The 19,553-nt window shown below is 45.7% G+C and overlaps 2 long non-coding RNA genes across 57 annotated transcripts in view, besides 3 other annotated features; one reads left to right on the top strand and one right to left on the bottom strand.

Moving 5' to 3' along the window:
• The window catches only part of NR2F1-AS1 (NR2F1 regulatory antisense RNA 1), a 176,234-nt gene that overhangs the window by 2,989 nt on the left and 153,692 nt on the right, over nucleotides 1–19,553 (top strand). For 16 of the 54 annotated variants that reach the window (NR_186189.1, NR_109820.2, NR_109824.2 and 13 more), the window contains exons 1-2: nucleotides 1,382–1,459; nucleotides 19,138–19,237. This is a non-coding gene — a long non-coding RNA (NR2F1 regulatory antisense RNA 1). Of the gene's footprint in view, nucleotides 1–1,381; nucleotides 2,135–2,742; nucleotides 4,827–8,117; nucleotides 8,164–11,775; nucleotides 12,712–18,582; nucleotides 18,810–19,137; nucleotides 19,238–19,553 lie in introns of those variants that run through there. The other 38 variants (NR_186217.1, NR_186215.1, NR_186218.1 and 35 more) reach the window with 14 other exon arrangements.
• Nucleotides 937–986: a silencer, noted in NCBI's record as "silent region_16176". NCBI's record gives its function as "represses an Ori minimal core promoter by ATAC-STARR-seq in GM12878 lymphoblastoid cells {active_cell/tissue: GM12878}" and the evidence as "EXISTENCE:reporter gene assay evidence [ECO:0000049][PMID:35858748]".
• Nucleotides 1,107–1,206: an enhancer, noted in NCBI's record as "active region_22788". NCBI's record gives its function as "activates an Ori minimal core promoter by ATAC-STARR-seq in GM12878 lymphoblastoid cells {active_cell/tissue: GM12878}" and the evidence as "EXISTENCE:reporter gene assay evidence [ECO:0000049][PMID:35858748]".
• On the bottom strand, nucleotides 7,784–10,919 carry LOC124901026 (uncharacterized). Of its 3 annotated transcripts, XR_007058872.1 has the most exons (4): nucleotides 10,827–10,919; nucleotides 10,589–10,719; nucleotides 8,319–8,422; nucleotides 7,852–7,866 (listed from the first exon to the last, which is right to left on the bottom strand). It is a non-coding gene; the product is annotated as an uncharacterized LOC124901026 (long non-coding RNA). The 3 variants fall into 3 exon arrangements; XR_007058871.1 differs by lacking the exon at nucleotides 8,319–8,422 and having other exon boundaries at nucleotides 7,784–7,866; XR_007058870.1 differs by lacking the exons at nucleotides 7,852–7,866; nucleotides 8,319–8,422 and adding an exon at nucleotides 8,961–9,740.
• Nucleotides 11,839–11,918: a silencer, noted in NCBI's record as "silent region_16175". NCBI's record gives its function as "represses an Ori minimal core promoter by ATAC-STARR-seq in GM12878 lymphoblastoid cells {active_cell/tissue: GM12878}" and the evidence as "EXISTENCE:reporter gene assay evidence [ECO:0000049][PMID:35858748]".

The raw sequence follows: 19,553 nt of genomic DNA, 5'->3' as shown, positions 1-19,553 counted from the left end.
GAATGAAACCCCCACCATTTTAATGATTTGTGAAATATACTGGATTTGGATTGTTTTCTTCTCTCACATATAAGCACAATCCAAGTCTGGATTCTGCTCATTTTATATCCTTTTTAGAAACAAGTAGAAACAGGGTAGGATCTCCCTATTTTTTAATCCAAAGTATACCTTGGTTTAAAAGGTTTAATGATGACAAAGCACACTCCTGGAATTTGCAGCTATTGCCACAAATTCGATCGGAATCAAGGGTTCCTATTTATCCCAAAGATGATTTTAAAAATAAACTTTCCAATCAATCCAATTTTTCCTTCTTCTTTTTTTTTTTTTTTATCACCTGGCTGTTCCAAACTCCAACAATGCTTCAATCATTATTAATAAAACAGTAGTAAGTCCCCATATTGTTGCAGGGTGGGGGGAGATTAGTGTGGCCAAGTCAGTCCCGGGAAAAGAGCAAACAAACGAGAAGATGGAGAGGGGGGGAGGCGGAGAGGGAGAGAGAAAAGGGGGAGGAGGAGAGAGAGAGACAGAGAGAGAGGAGAGGAAAGGAAAGAGAGGAGAGAGGAGAGCGCGCGAGATATTGAGAGAGAGAGAGAGAGAAGAGAGGAGAGGGGAGAGAGAGAGAGAGGAGAGAGAGAGAGACCCAGAGAGAGAGGAGAGAGAGAGAGACCCAGAGAGAGAGAGAGAGAGAGAGACCCAGAGAGAGAGAGAGAGACCGAGAGAGAGAGGAGAGAGGAGAGAGAGAGAGAGGAGAGAGAGAGAGAGAGGAGAGAGAGAGAGAGAGAGACGAGAGGGAGAGGGAGAGGGAGAGGGAGAGGGAGAGGGAGAGGGAGAGGGAGAGAGGAGAGGGAGAGGGAGAGGGAGAGGGGGAGAGAGAGAGAGAGAGAGAGAGAGAGAGAGAGAGAGAGAGAGAGAGAGAGAGAGAGAGAGAGAGACCGAGACCCCGATTCCTGAATCCTGAAGGTGATTGGTCGCGGGAGGAGGGGCAGGCGGGAGGAGCGGGTCCCGCGGCGGGGCTTGCAGGAATCGCTGGCTCCGGCTGCCACCTAGCGGACGGGAGCCGCTCCCGGGCGGCACACAGCCGAGTCCCTCCTCCCCTCCCCGCAGGCAGCCTGTGCCTTTTCTCCAAACGAAGACAGCACTTTGAAAATTCTTTCAATGGATTTTTTTTTCCTTGAAAGATCGTACTGGGGGAAAATGATACTTCTATTAGTTACATATTCTCCAATCGCATACTCGCACCCCCCTCGTTTTGAGATCGCTCCCCTAGGCAGGCTCAGGCGGGCGCGGAGCCGCGCGGAGTGACAAAGCCGCCGCTGCCGCCGCCGGGGGTGGGAGCCGCGCTCGCCCGCCCGCCCCTCGACTCGCGAGGGCGTAAAAGTTTGTCTCAGCTCGAGCATTCCTAGCGCCAACACGCCCTCAGGTAAAGGTGGAAGTAAATGGCCACGCTGTATTGACAGAGGTAGGGTTTGTTTTTTAATACTCGTTCTCACTTTAAGTCTCACCAGGGAGGGGTTTGGGAAGCACTGCGTGTTTGGGGGACGTTTTGCGCTTCCTGGTCTCTCCAGCCTACAAGTCGGGAGTCGGCGACCGCTTAGTGACGAGCGATGATTTTAAAGAGCAGAATAAAAGGTTTTCCCGTGCCTGCCCCACAGCCCCTCCAGCTCGAATAATGGAGAACTGTCAATGCACTCCGCGAGCGGTGGCCCATTGTACGCAGCTGATGGCGAGGAGGCGACTGGGGGTAGCAGGGGCTCCTTGCCCTCGTCCCTATGCCCAAATAAACGCGCAAACGCGCTCCCGTCTTCTGGTCAGTTAAAAGGTGAAACGAACACGATTAAAATAGACCAAAAGAAAAGAAAGAAAAGAAAACCTTTCTATGTACAGATTCTAAATCGTACTCCCCATACAGTCAGAGGCAGGGAGTCGAGGGCAGAGGCAGCAGGCGGAGAGAGGGAGATAGGGCGAGGGAAGGAGAACGCGGAGAGAGACGAAGGGAGTGGGAGACCAGCGACAGCGAGCGCCAGGGCACCGCAGGCACACTGGATGCCCAGTCCGCCGGCCCAGCCGCCCTCGGACCCTGGACCGTGCGTCGTGGGCACCAGAAACGAGACTCGGCCAAATCCTGCCTCACCAGGCAAGTAACATAATGGTTGTCGTTTCTCTTGAACTTGGGGTTGGTAACGGGCAGGGCCGGGAGGCAGTCTTGGCTCGCACGGCCTCCGCAGGCCGAGAGCAGAGTCTAGGCAGCCAGGGCGGGACGAGGAGAACTTTCTTCGGGGCCTGCTCGGGAGTTGCCCTCGCTCGGCCTCTGTCTCGCCGTAGCGCTAAGGCGAGGATCGCGGCCGCCGCGCCTCCTTGGAGGGGAGGATCGTGCCAGGCGAGCAGCAATCCACATTCAAAACAGGCTGCTCCCACCCCCACCCGCTATTCCCTCTCTCTCCTAGGCGGGAAACGGATGCCCGGGCGGAGGACGGGGACCCGCACGTTTAACACCGGCCCGGCTGTTCCTGCTGGTGCCGAGCGCGACCCGCGGTGGAGCCGGCTGCAGAGTCCGGCCCGGCTGGCCCTTGTGCCCGCGCCTTGCCTGGTTACGGCCTGAACCTGGCGAGCTTGGCTGCAGCCGCCCACCTGCGGACGCCGTTTGTAACGCCATCCCCTAATGTAACGCGATCGATGGCTGCCTGTCTGATGTGGGCGATAGTGTCAGCGGATTAAAAGGGACATCGAGCCGCTCTCCCGAGCAGACAACCTGCGGCGGCGGCGAGAGAGCACCGGGATTCGCAGCCTAGCAGCCGAGCCAGACTCCCTGCGCCGCTGCCAGCCGGCTGGGGGCGGGGAGGGGGTCGCCTCCCAGGGGTGGGGACAGAGGGGGTGTGTTGAAAGGAAGAGGCTCAATTAAAACCAACAAGAGCGCTTTCCTCCGTGCGGGGCAGGGGCGTGCGTTTGCGTCAGAGGGCGCGCGGGGGGCGGGGGCAGCCGATGCTGGGGACTGCACCCGGGGGCTGGGGGGTCTCGGAAGCGAGGAGGCCTTGCCTAGCTGGGCTGGCCCGGGGTCAGGCCCTGTAGGTGAGGGCCAAGGCGAGACGGGATGACAGCTGAGCCTGCCCGGGAGCAGAGGCGCCCACCCATCCTTACTGTGGGCTCTCCGTGCCCCCACAGAGCTTTCAAACTTGAAAGAGGCCCCTGGGACCCGGCGTGACCCTAGCGGTGGGGAGAAGTTGGGCCCGCGAGGCCTCAGGCGAAGCCGCGGGCTCCTCCGGAAGGAAGGAGGAGGGTGAAGTCCCCTGTCCTAGTCCCAGGGGTGGGAGTGGGAAGCTGTTGGTGGTGATGCCCGGAGCAGCGGAAGCCCGCGGCTTTTCGGAGGAGGGGAGCGGCTCGCACTCCTACGGGGCATCCTTGCCAACTTTCTGTCACAAGAGGGGGCGGGGAGAAACCAAGGCTTTTCGAGGAGGGCGCTGTCCCCCTCTGGAACTCGTCCGGCCTGAGTGGCACTTAGAGCTCAGTTTCTCTTCGGAAGCCTGTGCTCCCCGACCGCGGTTGCACACCCACAGGGCGCCCCACTTGTGCTCATAGCCCTGCCTCCAGCAAAAATGTCTTCCCTAGAGGCACTGAGAGGTCAGCTTAGTTCCTGGGAAGCCCTTTCTTTCTTTCTTCAAGGCTCTCTTTTGATACTGGTCCCAATTGGCACACTTGTCCTGGGCCTAATGCGACCCACACTCAACCAGGAAATAATGATATCTGTTGTTGTGGGGTAGGGTACCTAATAGAAAACTGATCATAGTTTTCGAGAGTACTTAGATCCCCCAATTGGGAAATCCTACATACTTGTCCAGGCACGCTCAGCTGCAGGAGCAGAAAACGCAGTTGTAGTGTCCACGTTTCTTTCACCCACCCCCTCTTCTTCAGATCTCTCTCCCTCCCTTCTAGGCCAGGCCTTTCACCTCGGAACCTTAAGCTGAGTCTGGACGTGGTTCTTGGACTCGGACCGCTGTGGCTCTTGCCTCAGCATCCTACCCGAGGCCTCCAGCCAGGCCCACAGGGGCTCAGCCCTCTCCAGGGTCTCTCTTTCGGTTTGGCGGGTCTGGGAACTGTAAGGGCCTTGCCGGGGCCTGGGCTCCCGGGAGCCTCCCTTCCTTCCTCTGCCTTCCTGGTTCCCACAGACCTGTTCAGTGCACACTAGATCTTTAGTGTAGTTCCCCAAAAAGGCGATGAGAAGGTACCGCTCCGCTTGGGGAAAGGAATTAGGCTGTAAGCCTATAGTACCCCTTGCGGGCTGCTAGCATCAAGCTCAGCGTTAATCACGTTTTAAAAGACATACCAGACAAAGCTTGATCTCTCCCAGCTTGCCACCCAGTAAATTGTGATCTGGTGAGAGAGGAAGAGAAGCACAGATCGGTTTGGCTGCACATTCAGGGTTGACTTGCGTTCCAGGCCCCAGAATCCGGATCTAAGCGGACTGTCTGTCTGTTAACATATCCTCTCCCTCCATATCTTTCTTACCACGAGGCTGAACCATTTTTCACTAATTCTATGGGCTTTTTTTGATATTGATATCTTGGTCTCCCGAAAGTCATTCATTTTAGCTTTTTGGTAAGTCACACTGAACAAAAGTGGCCTTGTAAAAACATTTTCTAAATCTAGTTCAAGAGCCATGGGACCCTACAAATGATCAGATATGTGTAGGAAATTCTCTTTTATACCTCTTCCCTACCTCAAAATCGTTAAAAATGGTATTATTCTGTTTAGCAAGACCACAGAACAGAACTAACCCCGTTTTATCGAGCCCATCTGGAGAGATGAACATGCCTGCAATCATTGAGAAAAAGGTCAGTGCCTCTGATCTTGCTGCAGACCTTTCCCAAAGAGCTTATTTGAAAGGTGCTGAATCAATTAGTCTCCCCTGGCATGAGATTAAAGCCAGGAAGGACATAGTTGAAGATGTATTTAAAATGGTCTCACACAGATCTTTTGGAAGAAAGGGTGGAGAGAGGTGCAGGAATGCCCATCTAATGTTTTGTGATTACTAAAACACAAAACCAAAACAAACAAACTAAACCCCAGCCTATCTCAGAAATCTTTACCCCCAAGACTGAACCCAGCCTATATTGTGGCTGCCTAGTTGTAAAAAGTTCTGCCTTTATCAACAAAAAACCAGGTGGATAGGCCAAGTTAGGAGTCAGGCTTCTGGTGGACTGCCTACCCTTAGCGTGCACATATAGTCAAACCATGAACCCAACAGACTCCAGGGTTTACTATCGCTCTGGTAGCCCAGGCATTTCTTCTTTGTCACCTTTGGGTCGAAATGCTCAGAGATAAGTGCTGTACCTTAGTTTAGTTTTCTATCTCAAACCGGTCATTTAAAGCACGTGTTTTGAAAAAGAGAGATAAGGGAAGCACTTCTCCTTTTGGCCTAGGCCCCCAGTTAGAGGGCCCAGGAGAAGCAGCAGGAGGAAGGACGGCAGGAGAGCAAGCACTGACCTTTGGATGCAAATCGAGCCTTTTTAGAGGAGGAAAAGTGACAATCATTCTTAGCACACCAGTGAAGCTAGAGCCAAATATTTACTTTTTATAAAAATCAAGTCTTAGCTATCTAAATGCATTTATGCAAAAAGAAAAAAGGAAATAATTGAAGACTTTTATGTTATAAAATTTATTTATTTTAAATACCCAGCTTGAGTGAAGAATAAAACCGCATGGCTATTCTTTCCAGGGAAAATGGATTAGGTTTGGATGAAAGTTGAAGTTTTGAAATGAGTCTGAAGGTTGTTGGAGTACCCTGAGAATACAATCAACTGCTCTACATAATCATTTCCCTTAATAGTTACCTGTCAGAGCACCTATTTCTTCTACTACAGGATTAGCCCATCAGAAGTAGATCTGAGTTGGATATTTCACTGACTAAAGACTGCTCTAATATGTTTCAGTGTTTAATGTCACTTTCTTTACTGCCTATGAGATAAACTAGTGGAAAAGTATTGGCTCAAAAAGCCAGCAGGTCTGCTGGTGTTACCAGTCATGTTGCAATTGTATTTACCTATCAGAACGTTGATCTAAATAATAAACCTAACATTTCCTTCTAAACTGTCAGTGGAAAGATATATTTATTACAATGTCCTCCATCGTTGAGGAGAGAGGAGGTTTAGCTAAAGTTTAAATGAAAAAAAAAAAAAAGCACAAGCATAGGACACCACTGATATAAGCAATAGAACAGTAAACAATTATGCCCTTTGTTATGCTATATATATTTTATTTACCCATTTCAAAGGTGGAAAATAAACCTAGCCCATCTTTGGGGGGAGTTAATAAAGTATTCTGAATGCATGATCTAACAAAACTCGGGGATCGTTCTATGTTTTATTGTTACCCCCCTGCATAAAGTCTTCTGAAGCTGAAAAGAGAAAGGAAAGGGCTTTTGTGTTAGTTGATCCTTGGCTATTCTAGGGCTCAGGTTGGTGTGAAAGGGATGAGGAGGTCACTTGAAATCTCCTTTTATCTACTCTTATTTTCTCTCTGGATCAGCAACTTTGAATAGACATCATCTAATCGCTCTTAATGGAAAGAAACTATGGGAGCAACAAAAATGCCTTTACTCCAGAAGTGAATACATGCATGCGGACAGCTAGCTGAGCTTTCATAGAACTGAATCTCTGCACACATGTACTTAAAGATTTTTCAGTTCATGGATATATATGTCAATATTTCCCATACATGGGGGGCGATGATTAGGTAGGTTATTTTACCCTCATGCATAAGTATGCACACACGTCTACCTTAGAATTCTCTAACAAGCAGTCTAGGTGATACTTTCAGCTGACTCTTCATTTAGCTTTTTCATGCCCTCACTCTCTGGGCATATTTAAGTACTGAAAAAAAAAAGCAAACAATTAAGAACACAATGGACAGCTTTTTCCAGAAGTCATCTTATTTCCTTTCTGTTTTCAACTGGAAGTCACAGTGACAGGAGGATTTCTCTTCAGGGGGAGGAGATTGTGTGACAGGTGGGAGGTAATGGGGCAAGACAAGACCTTTACTTTCAATTTCTCCCCACAATTTTTTCTTTTTGCTTGGAGTTAAATTGGTTAAAATACAATAAATAGTGGAAAATAAGAGCCTGACATTAGGCAGTTTAAAAGTTTTACATGCTATAGACACGTCTCCAAATTCTTGAAGCTGAGCAATTTATCATAATTTATTTGAAATAGGAATTATCTTAGGAAGTCTCACATGCTGGTTAAAATGTCCAAGTTGTCTTCCAGGCATTGTTATAGTATTTACTTCAAAAAGAAAAACATCTCCCAGGACATTTAATATGAATGATAATCCAGAAAAGGACATTGGATTTCTAGGACTGAAAGCACTGGGCTTTACCTCCTAAGAGGAGGATGCTCCCCCCACCCCATGTTCTTCTAAGTAAAATTCTCATTGCTCCCAGAGCTTGGGACACTTTAATGTAAAATTCCATCAAGGGAATACTTGGTTACTAGGGATACAAGTTCCCATCTCAACCTGCCAACCTCTCTTCCTCTGGCTCCAGATCGCAGAGACCCTGGGCTGTCAGGGCTGGGACTTGGGGGACACCCCCCCAGGCTGCAGGCGATTGCAGTTCTAAAGTTTGAAGTTGGGTGGGGGAGGATTAATCCCTCTTTAACTCCTCTCCTTCCCACCCTCAATTCTGAACCCCAACGGATATGTTTCCCCGGGTTTCCTAGTGAATAGGAGCATAGGAGCCGCCCTGTCCAATAAAGATTAAATTAAGTAGAAGAATCCCAGCCGCTGGATATTTGGAAGCTCCGGTGGGGCGTCAAACCGACGTTTAACACATTTTTTCCACTCACTGTGCACAAATCCTGGACCTGTTGGGCTTAACTTTTAGAAAGAAAGGAAGAAAAAAAATATAAGAAAGGAAGGGGAAAAAAATCAAACAAAGTCACAGAGAAACCCCACTTTTAAGGGGAAAGTGGCTTTAAACTCAGAGTGGCTAAGGCAGAGGCTGGGCTTCCTGACCTTTCTTTTCTTTTCTTTCCACGAATCACTCCCAGAGTTGAAACCTGTCCCCCACTCCCCCAGGGCTCAGAACTTTTCTGTTTTGGCGGTCTGACTCTATGTTTATTCCTTAGGGATGATGTGGTGGCCCAGGGTCATGACTGGATGTGTGAACAAGGGGTGAGTTGAGAACCCAGTCGCTTTCTCTGTGGTGACAATTTCTAATTTTTTAAATAAAGGTTTTGGTAGCATGAACTGAGCAGTTTTCTCCGGTTACTGTCTAGCAGGAGAAACAATGGTTTTCTCTGCAGGCTTTCAGCCGCTGGACAACTAACCTTGAAGCTGAGGCCCAGTCGGGTGCCTCCTCCCCCGGGGGCCATCCCAGCCCCCAGATATCGGCTGCTCACTCCCACTTGCTCTTCTAGTCCCTGGGCGCAGTCTAGAGGGGCAAAAGGCAAGTCCCTTCGTGGCAAAGGCTTGTCCATGCAAACACAACATTGAATAAATTAAACTCAAACCAGCTAGTTGGGGTGTAGTAGTTTAGCAGGACTAATTGCAGACAATGGAGCTGAAATGACTTTTCCAATTAGCTGCTGGTTGGAGTTTAGTTGGAGGAACTGTCAGCTCCAACGATGGGTAATTGCTTTATTGCTCACAAAACTATCATCTATTTAGAACATATGTGCTAATTACTCTGGATGGGTGTCGAAAAAGAGACCATAAATCTAATAGCACTTAAAAAGGTCTGTGGTGCTTGTAAGCCGCCCCAGCCCCTTGCACATTCTCTCCTGCCCAGGTTGGCGTGATAGATGGCTGTCTTTCAGGAAGAGGAAGGTTTGGACAGGAGGCGAGGACGGGATGCTCTGGTCAAATCGCTTGGAGAGACAGCGTCCCGTGCGTGCTGTGCTGAGGCGATAAATCACTGTCATCAAAACCAGTCCCCTCTTTAGTCGCGCACTTTTCATTTTCGCAAAAGATTACTTTAGAAATCTTTTAATTGGATTATGCTGGGAAATTAATCTCCTTTAGCCTTGGTTAAATTTATTGTGGCCACTGACTGAAGGAAAGCCCTGTCACTGCAGTGAGGGCCATGTCCCCTTGTTCGTTTTTCCTCCGTCTTCCAGGATCTCCCAGTTGCGTGTGATAGTCGTGCCCCAAGTCCTCGGGAGTGACTGGAGTGAGAAAGGGTGGAAAGGCGCATCTGGGCAAAGGCCGCGGAAGTCCCCAGTGAATCCCCTTTGTCCTAAACGCTACGTTTCCGTCCCGAATTCCCTAATTCCATATCCTGCATCCCCACAGCACCTCGCCTTTACCAACAAGGGGTTCTGGAGGCCCGCTGCCGGGAAGGAGTCTGGAGTGGCAGGAAAAGAAAGTGGGGTGTGTCGGGGGAGCACTGCCAGCCAAACTCACTAGTTTGCCCTCTCCCCCGCACTCCCTTTCTGGGCCTTCGGCAGGGAGCTGCGGTCTTGCGAAGACTACTTCTCTGCGCAAAAACGCACAGCTCGTTCTTGGTGTTCTTCCTGGCACAACTCCGGAGTCACTTCCCCTTGACGTGCATGGCGCTTGAGGCCGCGGGTCTAGGGCGCTTCTCACTCCTCCTGGCTCCTCTGGCACCTGCGCATTGTCGGGCGGAGACCTCCCTTCCAGCCTCGCCGCCCTGCGCGGTCAGCCTAGTCCAGCGCGACTCCGGCAGTCGCGGGAAGCGGAGGATCCGGCCCCGCCGGCCGCGCCTCTCAGCGGGAGATAACAACATCTGCCTGAAACGGGATACCTACTTTTGCAGCTCATTTGAGCTCTTAATAGCAGCCCTCTGAGGTGTGGTTAATTGATGGGGATAAAGGCGTAATGACTTGACAGGGAGACGCCAATGATCCTTTAATATACTTTTAAAAGAACAACAACCACCCCCAAACACCGGCCTGTCTTTGCTCGGTGGGGGGAAAAGGCAGGGATCTGGAGTCTGGAATAACGGCGCTGGTGGTGTTTGTACCTGGAAGCGTCAGTGTGGGGTGAGCCCTGGCTCGCAGGGCTGGGGCACCAGAAAGAGGCCAAGGCGCCCAGCTCGGGCTGACAGCGCGTTGTTGCGTGGCTGCGGGGAGCGAGGAGGGACGGGGAGCCAGCCGAGAGAGCACCGGCTGACAGGTGACCCGGCCGATAGGCGAAGAGGAGCACGGAGCCGGGGGCATGTCGCTTCTCCCTGGGCTCTGCCCCTCTATGAGCCCTTCCCCTACGTGGGGCTGGATACCCACAAGCCGGGCGCCTCTGTCTGCCCGCCCTCCTTGACTAGAGAGACCCCGTATCTAGTTTGAGCGACATCATCAAGTGGCCGGCGGGAACAGGGGGGTTCCGCTGCTTGGACAACCTCAGGCCCCAGCGCCAGGACAGAGGCACGCGCCCGTGTGAGTGTGTGTACGTGCGCGTGCGCGCAAACCGCTCCGAAACGCACAGCTGGAGCACAGCAGCCCCGAGCACGTGGCTGTATTTAGACCAAGTCTGTCCAGAACCCCAGTGCCAGGCGTATTGGGATTTACCTGCGCGGCAGCTGGGTCCCGCCGCCCGGTCAGAGGAACCCCTGCGCACTATCCCACCCCAGACCTCCGCTTACCGTTTTCTCCTCAGTACCTTCCCTTTCTTTTGCCCGATTTCCCTTTGCTCAGTCAGTTCTAGCTGAGTCTCTAGAGGGTCAAATAAGTGTTTTTACTCGTCGCAGGTACCGAACTTAGGTTCACACAAATCCTAAAATGAAAAAAAAAATCATATTGCCTTTTCCGTTTGCAAAGGGGAACCCCCTCCAGATGTGAGCTGTGGTGTCCCTAGCAGGTTTTGCAAGTCTCTTGTTTTACCTTTGGAAAAAGATAACCTTGATGCTTCAGGTTTGAGCTCCCTCTGGAAGCAAAAAGAGAAACGACTCCAATCACCGTCTATATCTTATTGCATTGAGAGATAGCAGGTGTTTAGGCTGCAGCTATTGTCTGCCTTCCTCCCTGAGCTCACATAACAAGGATGAAAGAGTCTAAGGAACTTAGTTTCCCCAAACGCTCTTGCATAGGAGGGCGGGGAAACTTCGGAATCAAGGACTTAAAGAAATGCAATTGAGTCCCAACTCGCAAAGTGTGTCAGTCTCCATGTGGTTCCGTCCTTCCGCCGTCACTGTCTAGTCTCATCTAGTGTCGTTCTTCTGCTTTCTGTAGATCTCTAGGAACTCAGGATTCCCTGCCGCTTAGCCGTCGAGCTCCCGACCCCTCCGCATCCCTAGCCGGGAAGGACTGAGAGCTGAGCTCCAAGGTCGTGGTCTGGTCCTCAGGGATGAGGTCCCGGGTCCAGACTCTTTCCTTGGTCAGCAACTCCTGCTTAGAAGCTCCCCGCCCCGAATGGAATCGTGACCTGGCGCTAGGTCCCCCGCTGGGAGTGCCCGAGGCTTTCCTGAAGGCCCCAGGCCTTCAGGCCGCCAGGGTCCTAAGGTGCCTGTGGCGGCCCCTCGTCCGCCTGAGCCCTGAGATCAGCGCGGCCCTCGGTGCTGCAGGGCCCCAGGGCGGCCAGGAAACACCTGCCCGAAGTCCAGGCCCGGCCCCACTGCAGTCCAGGACCCTAATTCTCGAGTGTCTCTTCACGACCCTGACCCCGGAAGGGCGCTCCCTTGCGAACGAATTTTTAATTCTGCGGACTGGGATCCCTTGTAGGGGCCCCTCCGAGGGCCCCTCCCACCCCTTTCCCTGGACTAGCGAACTCCGACCCTAAGCGCGGCCCCGCAGGGAGCGGATCCCGGAAGCTAGGCCCATATCCGGCCGCGGAGCCTTGCGCGCGGGGTTGGCTGCCGGGAGGTCGACGCTAGTGCGGTCCCCCGCGCGGCGGAGGGGCCCGGGCCGCGGTATCTGCGCACTGAGACGTCGGCGGAAGGCTAGAGGCCGTGCTCTCGCCCCCGCAGAAGGCCACCACTCCTTGAGAAGGCCGGAGGGACAAAGCACCGGGCCTGCGCCGGGGGCATTCAAGAAGGAAGCCAGGCCCGACCGGGGGTGGCGCACGCTTCCCGAACCCCAGGCCCACGGCCCGGTTCCGCGCGGGCAGTTGGCGCCCCCTCGGGTCGGCACAGCAGACCTCTTAGTAATGGTCCCCAGGGAGTGTGAGTGGGTCCCCGCCAATCTTTTAAGGTTCAGAGATCCACCGTCGAACGAAGCCGCTTTTACAACTTCCCCATTTAGCCTCTTTCCTCCCCCGCCGCTGGCTAAAGCGCTGAACCTTGCCATCCTCCTGGGGTGCCTAACGATTTGCCCTGCCTTGGACAGCCAGTCCTCTTCAGGTGGTGGGCTGCTGGTAGGGGTAGGAAGCAAGGCCTGGGGCACAGTTGGGGACCCTCACACCTGATTTTCTGTTTTAAGGAGGAACTGGGTTTCAAAAAGCTGTAGAGTCAGTGGGAGTTTCCTTTTGTGGCCCTTGGCACTTTTTAAAACACCCATCTGCAAGGCGGGAACAGCGGAGAAAGTGCTATGTAGTTCATAAAAAGGATATTGGGAGACTGTTATCTTAAGAGTTTTTCTAGAGATTGTTTTGTAATCTCTCAGTTTAGAGAGTTGATATGTCCCGCGCCATCAGCCCGCTGAATGGGATCTTCCTTCAGACAGGGACTGAGAAACGGAAATACTACCATCCTCCAGCCAATCTGTTGGGAGGACTGCTTGCAGAGGACTCGTGCTCCAGATGTTGCACTAGAGGCGCTGCAAGTGTGAGCAGGTAATGTGGAGAAGAGTGACATTGTTAACAGAAAGCATCTAATTAAAAATGACTTCATTTGATTGGAAAGATGAAAAAACCTTTTTAAATAAATCCAGATTCACTGGCCTAAGCTCAGCCAATTTATGAATATGGAGCCCGACTGGGGTCTGCTTTCTTTCAAAGATGTCATCTTAGAGGTAATAACATAGGTGAAGTCATTTGGTTACACTGTGGAAACTTTTATAGTGCCTTCCTTGGGAATTTAATTCAGTGGTTCTTCATTTTATCAGGAACAGACTGACTCCATCAACTGTACTCTCTCCATGTTTAGAGGCAGGACTGCTTGAAGCAATTAGGTTCACCAATTAGCATAGTTTTACTGACCTCCGCAGCAGCACCACCAGCGCTCCATTTCTTCAAAGTCAGGGAAACGCTGAAGCACAGCATGCTTCCCAGGTGTCCAGGTTGGGGAGATAAGCCCAGGAGCAGGGTAGTGCAGCAGTGCAAAAAGCTTTCTAATAGTCCCCAAGTGTTTGTTTCAGCAACTTTTGTGGATTTTTTTAAACCCGCTTTCTGATTCTGGATCTTGTAATACCTCCTTACTTTGACATAGCCCTTAAAGCCTCTCTTGGCCGAATTGCTTTTAAGAAGGTTAATTTTCTATTTTCTCCCTTCTCTTCTGTCTTCCTGTGTACTAATGATGCTGTGGGAAATTTTAGGGTCCAGAGAGAGGAAATCGCTGACAGGCTCGTTGAAACCTTGTTAGGTGACAAGGTAAGGGTTGAGGTGTGTGGGTGCGTGTGTACCTCAAACCTATGAGGAGAGACTAGAGTGGATACTGGGAGAAAGTCATTGCTTTTCCTAATTTTTAAGGTGTACCTACAAGGCTATCCTGCAACTTTTTCACCATAAGCTCAATCAGCTGGTACATCTTTAATCAAAGAAAATGTTTGGGGCCCAAAGCAGTCTAGAAAAGAAGGGTTTTGCTCTTGTCACTGTCAAGGGTAGTAAAGGAATTAAATTTATTTACATGGCTGTTGTTCCTCTCGTTCTCCCCTAAAATAAACATTTCTGTGTAAGATTTCACTGGATTAAATTGCTGACAGTTCATCAGTAGCAGCAACAATGTAATTCTTCTAACCTTATTAAATCAATAAATACTAGATCCATGCATTGAATTAAAAATGCATCAGCATAGCCAGGAATTGTGATCATATGGCCACGGACCTCAGACTCGAACATGCCACTCAAAAATTGAGTAGTTAGCATTTATTTAATCTTTTTCTGTTTTGGATTTGTGACTAGGTATTCTGGGGTTTTACCATTTCAGGGACTCGTGTCAAGTTTTCTTTGGTTTATAATCTTGAAAATTCTTTTCTTTTACTGACTTCTCACATTTAACCATGAATATGATGCATGCATTTAGAGTAGTAATGCACTGTGACTTTGTAGTTCTTGCCATTAGTTTTCATCAAGGAAATATACTTCTACTTAGAATGCATTACTCTAGTAAGACATAGTAAGGTGCATAACTTTCTACAGAAGCACAAATAAATTTAAATACATAGGCTTTTGTAAAAGTATAAATAAATATACTTAGTTTGAATATACTGCTGTACATTTATTATGTTTATTTGTAAAAGAAAACCACATTTATCTTCCAACACTGTCAACTACATTATGAGCAAAATTATTATTTATCATTTTAAAATAAGTCATTTATTTATAATCTGACTTGCTTGCTGGAATTTACACAAGAGCTTGAATTAAAAATTTTAAGTCTTTAAACTTAACACAGCATTAGGAAGTAACATATATCTTAAATGGTTACATTTTATGTGTGAAGAAGTACCTCAAATATGGTGTACCAGGAATTAGTCAGTTAAGTTGTAGATTAGTAGGTAAATTTACACTTAGTTTCTGGTGAAAACAAGGACCATGTATAACACTTTGTAGTTGGATGGACAAAGTAATATTTATTTTACCCAGATATTTGACCATACTGATTAATGATGCTAATTATTTAAAAACGTTCATCTCCTATTGGTGTCAGCCAGCATAGATGGTACTGAATTCTGAAGATACAGTCACTGGCCCTTGGGTTCACCACACTGTGGAAGAAAAATCTTTATTTGACGAAATAGGCAATCAACTGAAATCTATCCTCTTTAAATAAACTGATTCCTCAGTATTTTCTCAGTGTTGGTGTAAGTTGTTGCCTGTGATATCCCCCAGGGCTCTTTTCCTCTGCTCTCTGATTTGGTATATAAAAACAGCTCTGAATGATGGATTACTGTGTCATTGCAGCCTGCAAAGGATTAATTTGTTTCATTGATTTCTCTTTAGGCAGATTGCCAGAATTTGCTGCTTCCCACCTTTGCTCAAGACTTCTACAAGTAATAGACAGTAATAGCCTAAGACAAATCAGCTTCTTCTTGTAAAAATAAAATCAGGAAACTAAGAGTCCTAGGAAAGCTATGGCAAACTTTTTTACTGGCATACTGAAACAGCAATCAATAGGCTACTTCATTTGCTTTACAAATATTTGTAATTGAAAATTTCCTTGAATTAGCAACATACTACATATCATATTAATAGATCTTAAGGAAGCATTTGTAATGTTTGTTCCATAAAAATTTTCCCTAATTTGTAAGGATTCCGTTTAACCCAGGAAAAAAAAAGGTGTTGTCTATGTGATTGACAAATACTTCTTTTTCTGTGCCAGATTTCAGGATCAAATAACATATCAACATAACTTTAAGTCAATTTACCTGTAAATATTTATAGGACTCTTTTGCCCAAAGAATTTTAGAAACTTTGGACTGAGAATATCAGATGATAGAAATAGAACTGTTTAAAGAAAAAATAACTTTTTCTGATAAAAGTAGTATATGCCCATAAGACAGAATTTACAAAAATTAGAAATGCCATTTTGTATAATAAGGTTTTCTCTAAACTTTATTCTTCTAAGCATTTAATGTAATATGATTAAAATTATTAAAGTCATTTATATTGACTCTATAATGTTTTAACATATCTACTTTAATTATTGCTCTATTAGACAACTCAGATGTTTAATTTTCATTTGTATAAACTAAGTTGTAATGAATAGCATTTTAAATAAATCTTTAGCCATCCCTATGGTTATTTCCTTACAATATGTTATTAAAAGAGAAATTACTTAGACTGAGAATATAGACTGTTTTTTAAGGTTCTTGATATTGATTGCCCAATTGTTTTCCAGAAAGGTTCTACCAATTTATACTGGTACTTAAAAAAAATTCCTCTGTAGAGGCAGCATTCTAATTCATGTTACATGAGCAAAGAAAACAGAACAACACTCTTTTTCTTGTGTTCTGAAAGCAGTGGTAGCGTTTTGCATATATTTAATCTGTCAGAAGTATTTTCCCAACTGCAGATGTGAAATAGGCTGGTTATACACATCTATTTGTTTCTCTTCTGTAGTGCTGAAAATTATATTGATTTAATGATCTCAAGTTATACTTTTTATGCAATTAGTTGTGTAGTAAAAACTAATATTGTCATGTGCTAATGTCTTTTTTCCTCTATTGTGCTATGGTAGTAGTCTATGCAATATCAGCAAGTTTATACTTTCCCTTTGCTTTGCTGAAAGGAAAAAGGAACATCTGTTTCCATTATATATCTACATCATAATGATAACAATTAAATAGCTATTATGGTAGTATACAGTAAATATATTTTGCTGAATGACCTGTACTTTCTTGTTGGAAAATTTCAGATATTTTGGAGGCACTTAGTTTTTACACATAGGTTCTATGTAGATATTTAGATAGGCCTTTGCTTACTTTAGGTAAATTATTGCAGTTCTTATTTGTTTCAATAAAAACAACCAGCCAATCTGACGATGAAACACTAGGCTACTAGATGTGACTCTTGAATGTATTTAAAGTACAGATTGTTAAGTATGTCTCTCAATAGTCTTAAATGGGTTTATCATGCTATTAGTAATAAAATTTATTTTGTGTTTTGTGCTATTTGTGTAGTACTTTTATATTTTACTAAGTTAGATTAGAAATAGTTATATATATATATATTTTAGCACATTACGCTTTTTTTTTCTTATGTTGGGGGACACAGTGATATTTACCTTTTAAACTCAGCAGGAGAATATTTGAAACCATACACAACTATTTTCATTGACCTTTAAAGTTCCAGAGAAGTGTTTTCATTTATTTTACCTTTTGATTAAAGATGTTTTGGTGATTACATAAAAAAAGACTAGAAAGTATTTCATACAAAATGGTATATGAAGAAAAATAAGCATCCATATACCCCAAACCCAGTTCGAGAAATAAAATATTAACAGTACAATTGAAGCCTTCCAGAATATATTTCTTTATGGCTTCTTGAAAAGATAATTATCCTAAATTTGGCAGTTATCCTTTTTGCTACTTAGTTACTTTTTTTTACATGTTCTAAAAATTTGATGTAAATAAATTTAAATAAATACTTTTTAAATAAATACTTTTTTAAATGTTGGAGCTGTGACTGTTGTTAGAAGTCTTTTAATCTTATCACCTATGACTGGGCATGTTTCTCTGTTTTAGTGTCCTCACCTGTGAAGTTGGGGGTAGGCCTCTATGGTCTCTGCTGTCTTTCTAGGTGTAATTAAAACATTTTTTTCAGTGCTTCTTGTGTTCCATATGAAACAAAATGAAACAAACAAAAGACAGAGGCCAAGAAAGGCTAAGTAACTTGCCTAAGACTATATAATAAGTCACAGGGCAGGGAATAAAACTCAGTTTTCCTGACTTCCATTAAGGTTGTCTTTTCCTCACTCCACATTGCCTGTCATTTTTTTTCTGATTATTCTTAAGAAGGAGTGAGGAGAGAGAATAGAGAAACAGATTTTTTTCTCGGACTATCTTTTCTGTAGGGAAAAACCACTGAAGCCCTATTAGCCTGGAAGCTGCTTATAGGGTTACAATACTGTGTGTCCTGCAGAACCTGTGAAGCTCTTCTGTATTTTCTGGACTTTCCTGGAAAGTCATTTAGATATAATGTAATAAATATAATAAAGTAGTTTAGATATAATGAGGTTTTCAATAGGCTTCTTACTCTACAGTTAATTTTTTGATCTCTTTAAATACCAGGAAAATAGGATGGGCATAAACACAAGCGTCTTTTTACATGTATATGTCTCTGAAATTCAGTGTTTTAGCAAGCAGGTCTTTAATAAATTACTTTTCCTTTTTTATGTAGTTTATACTATGTTCAAATCATAAATGACCTTCTGTTGGAAAATGGGCTTGTTTCTTGTTTCTATTCAGTAGCCAATATGCCAGAGTACTAAAGTGAAAATAGCACAAATAATGTGGAAATACATTTTTAAAATCTCTTTGGAGAAAAACCCCATTCTAAAAATAGCAACTTAGAATTACATGCATGTACTTTCCCTTTCAGGTTTTTACTCTAACGAATTTAATTCATTCTTAGTTGAGATGACTAAGCTTGAGTCATAATATTCACACAGTGCCATGTCTGTCCTATGAAAAAATAGCAATGTAACTGGAGGTTGGAGTTATATATTTTATTGTAAAACCATCTTTTCCCAAATCTGTTGCTTCAAGATCAAAAAGTTGGTTTAATAAACTACTGCTTCCTTCTACAAATGCATACTTGGGAACTTATAATAGTAACCATTTTCTTTAGGGTGGGTGACGCTGCTAATAGTAGCTTTGTCTGTGCTGTAAGTATTCTCCAGGTAGTTGTGTGTTTTTTTTTTTTTTTTTTTTTTTTTTTTTTTTTTTTTTTTTTTTTTTTTGAGACGGAGTCTGGCTCTGTCACCCAGGCTGGAGTACAGTGGCGTGATCTCCACTCATTGTAAGCTCCACCTCCTGGGTTCACGCCTTTCTCTTTTCTCAGCCTCCCGGGTAGCTGGAACTACAGGCGCCAGCCACTACGCCAGGCTAATTTTTTGTATTGTTAGTAGAGATGGGGTTTCACCGTCTTAGCCAGGCTGGTGTCAAACTCCTGACCTCGTGATCCGCCCACCTCAGCTTCCCAAAGTGCTGGGATTACAGGCATGAGCCACTGCACCCGGCCTGGTAGTTGTGTTTTAATAAGCAGACCAGGTAACACATTTATTTGTCTGTATTTTAGGTCAAATTATCTTACATGTTCGTCAGCTTCTAATAGGAAAATTTCCGTGGTATATTAAGTTGGGGAAGAGAGATCTAATGTGATTGAGATACCAGTATTCAGTACACCTTTTATTTAGGCATTGCTTTATTTGCTCACACTTACTAAATATACTTTCTTTCATTTCTGTCTGGGAAAGCTTCTTTAGGGTGTGTGTGAGAATATTTCAAAAAGCAACTCTTTGTCTAATAGAAAATTCCAGCAAATATCTGTAATATAAGGAATTTTTTACACTGATTAAATTTCCCTGTGTTTCTCCAGCAGGTAGATGAAACTCAAGAGAAAAGGTGTGGATAAATGAAACTAGCCCATGATGAACCTGTTTTCTCCGTGACCACAATATTAACCAGGATGAATGGCGGTAAGAATATTGAGACTTAACCACTAAACCAGCAATGCTAAAACCAGAGACCCTAGTGAAACACAAGAATATATAGTCATTGTGTAGTTCATATATGTTACCTCACTTTCTTATTTATTATAGCTCTCCATAGAGATGTGGTGTGGTGTTAACAAAAATAACACAGAATGTGGTAAATTTACTTTCTTGCCCATATATAATCCCAGAATTATAGGGGCTTAAATATATACACCATTTCTACTCAGTTCTTAATGACTTCACTTTAGACCAAGTTGAGATTATTTCAAAACCAGCATTGGCTATATATTTTCCATTG

This window comes from Homo sapiens, chromosome 5 (assembly GCF_000001405.40).
Source record: "Homo sapiens chromosome 5, GRCh38.p14 Primary Assembly".
Lineage (NCBI taxonomy): Eukaryota > Metazoa > Chordata > Mammalia > Primates > Hominidae > Homo > Homo sapiens.
The sequence above is the reverse complement of the archived record's forward strand: the minus strand, read 5'-3'. Positions and strand labels throughout refer to the sequence as shown.